The 5,451-nt window shown below is 31.6% G+C and overlaps 1 annotated feature.

Annotated features, from left to right (window-relative positions):
* Window positions 555-1,129: an enhancer, noted in NCBI's record as "OCT4-NANOG hESC enhancer chr4:137027831-137028405 (GRCh37/hg19 assembly coordinates)". NCBI's record gives its function as "activates a minimal SCP1, AML or CMV promoter by ChIP-STARR-seq in naive and primed H9 embryonic stem cells {active_cell/tissue: H9 hESC(naive and primed)}" and the evidence as "EXISTENCE:reporter gene assay evidence [ECO:0000049][PMID:30033119]".

Below are 5,451 nucleotides of genomic sequence, written 5' to 3'. Positions count from 1 at the left end.
TTTATCATCAAAAATTAGAAATGGATATTTTATATATATATATATATATATATATATATATATATATATATATACATGAAGCAACTGAGGCTTAGTGAGATTAAGCAACTTGCCAAAAATTGCATGACGGGTATGTGATAGAACAAAGATATGAAAGCTCCTACATATGCCATTGTACAGATCTGATTATAAAGTTAAACTGGAAAGCCCAAGAGAGAAGACAGCATTAAAGGAATAAATTAAAAAGTTACCTAACGGGCAAAAGTAAGATTCCGTGTACTTCTTTGAATGGAATTTTACATCTACTTGAAATAATTTATTTTGTAGAATACTGCACAATGAAAGGATAAGTAGAACAAATAAATATAATATTCACATATTTATAAAAAAGATCAATGTAACACTACACCTATGACCAAATTTTGCTTATACTAGAGCAATGTCAATAACCCTCCAAAGAATAAATTTAATTATTTGTATTTCTATGAAATCTATTTTTGTATACACAATATTCACCAAAATCATATGTCAGAATTATCATGAAATGCTGTAAAATGTCATCATGTGAATAATTTATCTTTATTTTGAAAACGGTGTAAAGATAATATTACTGTCAGTACAAAACCCGATCACTTTTTAATTTACTTTTACGACTTCAAACTGCACCCATCATCAGTGAAATAAGCTACAAAAGTAAGTGACCATTTAAAATTGATAAAGATTATAGAACTTGTTCTCAATCCGTTTTTCTAACTATCAGTGGAATCAGTTAATTTAGCTTTCTTGCAAGCCACAGAAACAAGCTTTGGCCAATTGAAGCTAAAGGAGATTAACTGGAAATGTATGGGAAACATCTTAAGAAAACAATGGGCTCTGACAGAGGACCATTTATCTAAGCAGCAAGGGCTCAGCAAATCCTTCTATTAGTGCATCTGGTAGAACTGATGCTCTCCAGTGGGGGAAGAAAACTTCAAAAATACTGAGCAACATAAGAAACAGGTGTTTCAGAAAATGAAAATGAGTAATATTTAGGAAGGATTAATATAGATATTGATCACGTATAAGTTAGGCAATGAGTCTATTTATCTAACAATAGTTATTTTCAAAATAGTTTTTATACTTAACAACTAGCACAGATAGACTATAATTAGGCATTTCTCATTATACATTTGACAAGGAGAAAATTGGTTTTACAATGAATAACTATGAGGTATATAAAAATATGTCTTTTTAAAAAAAATTTGGAGACACAGGATCTCACTATGTTGCTCAGGCTAGTCACAATAAAAATGTCTTATCAGTTAAAGAGTAAAAATGTGTTAAACGAGTATATCTAGTAAATAATTGTATCTGTTATATCTATGTCAATAAAATCATAATGCATACTGAGATTTTCAATAATATCAAATAATAAATACACTATGTAATACATTGAATTGCAAAGCCATAAACTCTTGAGATCTAGTTTTATTTTTATGAATTGGATGTCATGTATTTTATTATTACATCCATGAGCACACACTGAGAGTAGACCTATTTCTTTCTTATTCTTGTTTTTTATTCTCTAATATATTCTTAATATCCTTATAATTTCCTTCTCTGATGTCATATATTTTGGTAATTAAAATTATATGTGTAATATGTAATACATAATACATAAATTAATGTTATATATTTAATTAAGATGAAATTATATATATCACATCTGTAAGTATTAAATCAACTCACTAATAAGAGAATGTGATCAACTTGAATGGCATATTTAATGAATTGTAGTATAAATTAGATGTAAAGCCCAAAGCTACGTTCTAGGTTTCACTTAAGGTCTTAGGCTGGTGCAAACATAATTACAGTTTTTGCCATTAAAAGTAATGACAAAAACTGCGACTACATTTGCACCAACCTAATAAATCTTCATGAATGTCAAACAAGTATATCAATATAAAATTTAAGTATACTATTCTTTACAATACATTGAAAATTGCAAATCATGTAAGTAAAAATTGTAATGACTTCTAGAGAATAGTTCTAGAGAATAGTTTGAAAGTTCTAGAGGGGCCGGGCGCGATGGCTCATGCCTTTAATCCCAGCACTTTGGGAGGCTGAGGCGGGCAGATCACGATGTCAGGAGATCGAGACCATCCTGGCTAACACCGTGAAACCCCGTCTCTACTAAAACAAAAAATTAGCCGGGCGTGGTGGTGGGCGCCTGTAGTCCCAGCTACTCCGGAGGCTGAGGCAGGAGATTGGCATGAAGCCAGGAGGCGGAGCTTGCAGTGAGCCGAGATCGCTCCACTGCACTCCAGTCTGGGAGACAGAGCAAGACTACGTCTCAATTAAATTAAAAAAATAAAAATAAAAAATAAAAAAGTTCTAGAGAATAGAACTTGCTAGAGAATAGTTGTTTGAAAATAGAGAATAGTTGTTTGAAAATATTTAATTATATTTAGCAAATTTCTATAGAGGTTTATTGTATAAAAACTAAAATAAATTTGAAATTATGTATTATTTCTAGCAGAGGATTTGACAGTAACATATAATGTTTAGGGTATACTACATTTCAGGACTACAGAAATGACAAAATACTTATTTGGAAGTTAACTTCTGAGGGATGACATTTTAAATAATGTCAAGTTCAGTGTCCATTTCATTTATTTAATCATATATTATTAAGGTGACAGATAAGTTCCATATTAATACCATATTTATTTTAACTTCCAGTATTACAAGAGAAACAGAGTGAACAAAATGTAAAGCCTCGATACTAAAACAGAAAAAACAGAACAACTGTCAGCGTTTTTTATTAAATTGAGAATATTTGTCCGAAATTAATATAGTAATTCTGCTTTCTTTATCTGTCATCATTGGCAAATGAGCTATTTCACAAACATGCATTGTCTAGATGATTGCAATTCTCCCAGTAACTAACTGGAGCCTTCACTATAACAATTCTTTTAGAAATCTTCCAAAAACTTATGACACACTTTTCCCACTCATTATATAGTAAAGCAAATGTAATTTAGGTTTTTTCTTGTTGATTTAATCAGTCATTTAAAATGGTATTCGTTTATTAATCAAACATTTACTTAATTCCCGTCCACTCATTCAAAATCTGCAAAATACTGTGGCTGTCATGGTGAATCTCAAACATTAATTGTCTATTGATAGCCATTGAATTAGTAGGTAGTTGAAAGGATTTTGTTTTCTTTCAAAAGCAAGCCCTTTTTTAAAAAGAGGTTTAATTTTTTTCTTCCGATTCCTTCAAGGATCTAGAGAACTGCTCCTAACACTTAACATTAACAAAACCACCGTCTTTTAAATATCTGTCTTGCAATGTCTTTTCCCTGAGTAATGAAGTCCTCCTTTGACCCCAAACATAGGAATCTATTGCAGTTTCCTTGACTGCCTTGATTTTGCAAATACTATTTTATAAAGCTGTCATGGAATGATAATGTTAAAATTAATGTGATGAGTAGGTCTATGTTTCCCTTTTTTGTATTTCTCATTACCTTTGAATTTAGAACTTTCATGTTTTTAAGGAATCTTTTGTTACATTACTTAAATGAGTCATTATTCTTTATCTTCTACCAAATAATGTAAGTAATTTTCCTTTTAAATATTAAATAGGATGAGATAATTAAGCAGTTGGCCTTATGTCACATGTTCTCATGAGCCTTTCTATAATAGAATGACCTGACTCTGCACATTTCTATGACTCTCTTGAAGATAGTGCTGTGGATAAGGGTCAAGTTCAGACAATTGCATGCACCAGACCAAGCTGTGGAGACATTGCTTTGATCTTTGTTTTTGTAATTTTTTTTCCTGAAGTCAACATCCAGTATCTATTTTCTGACTTTCTCCATTATTGAGAGAGTCAGTTCCAGTCGTGATGACAGCTCCATTGTAGGCAGGAACAATGGCAGCATTTTTCTGACTTCGGCTTCCTGAGTGTTATATCTCAACTAAGATATTGTTTGATATCTGTATTTCACTGGTATCTCATGTTACGGAACTGAATGAGTTCTGCCACATGCTGAGAGTAACTCAGGAATGCCTAGCTCAGAGTGAGTTTCTCTAGCTCCCGCTATAGTTTTTTCTAACAATAAAATCACTTTCTGTTTAAAACCACTTTTGTTCCATTTCCTGTGCTAAACCCTGATTAATATTTATGAAATTTCAGATATCTAAGTAATCTGATTAAAATATATGCAGTATTGATGCATGAGCTTTATGGCAACTGGTTTCTTTGTAAACTTAGTAGGTTTATTCTTATTTACTTATATATTTATTTGATTAGAGTTAGTTCATTACTATACTGTAGGGGGATAAAATAAGTAGAATTGCAACTTTAATTCCAAAGTAATAGATACTAAAAATGAAAGAAAACATTGCGGAAGAAATGCTTCGGAAAGAAATAGCTTTTTGGTGCTGATAGTTAGACAAGAGGTAAAGAAGTGAGATTTTGAAATACAAAGTAAAAAATTTCAGAATAAGTGTCAAATCACTAGTACATCTACAGTTCTGAAGTGCTCAGGCCGAGTTCTGCCTGAAAACTGGAAACGCTATTCTAGTAAAAGGGAAAAGAAAATTCATAAACCAAAACCAGAAAAGAAGTTTAGGAAATGAGAAGAACCAAAGAAATACTGTACAACTAAACAGGACGTCTGACGTGTATATAGATTTAAGCCACGCTTAAAAGTATATGTAAGTTTTCTTACCATTATTGCAAAAAAGTAAAAAAGAAAAAAAGGCTCATGAGAACAAATTGATTAGTTTGCAAATTGATTAGCAGTAACGAATTATCTTACTGGAAGCTGAAGGGGACTGGAGTTTATTGAGAAATCTCCTGACTGGGGAAGTCTGAGGCTTCCTGAGAACTTTCCATCTTGAATCGTGAGGATGAAATCACCAAAGTATAGGCAACTTTTGGGTTTTTTGTGTTTGTTTAGTCAGCTTTATAATTCTCTGTAGTAAATGAAAGCAATGTGTTAAGTAGCCTATGACATTTTGTTTCTTTTCATTGTGCCTTTATACACTTAACAGTGAAACAATGGCAAATGTGATGGGTGGGGGAAAATGTAGATATACTCAGAGAGGGCTAAATTTACACATGTTCCAATGTTCAATTTTATATCAAATATTTTTCTCTATTTAATTTTTCTTAGCTTTCTGCTAACTGAAGTTTAACATACAGGCCTTCAGTTAATAAATTTGTATTTCAATATTCTTGTCAGAGACCCAACTCTTGCCATTTTTTTCCCATAATACTTTCAATTAAATGGCATAAATGAGAAAAAGCTTTGTACAATTCATTCTTGGGGAATAATATCTAATACAAGACTCTGAAATCTGTATTCCATGGTTTGCACTGACTCATTGTTTTGCTTATAATTCTTCTAGGTTTCATTTGACTGGGACAGAGCCTTGGTTTGAATTCACAAAGATAACATT

The sequence above is a fragment of the Homo sapiens genome, chromosome 4, assembly GCF_000001405.40.
Source record: "Homo sapiens chromosome 4, GRCh38.p14 Primary Assembly".
Taxonomy (NCBI): domain Eukaryota; kingdom Metazoa; phylum Chordata; class Mammalia; order Primates; family Hominidae; genus Homo; species Homo sapiens.
This window is presented reverse-complemented; position numbering and strand designations above follow the sequence as displayed.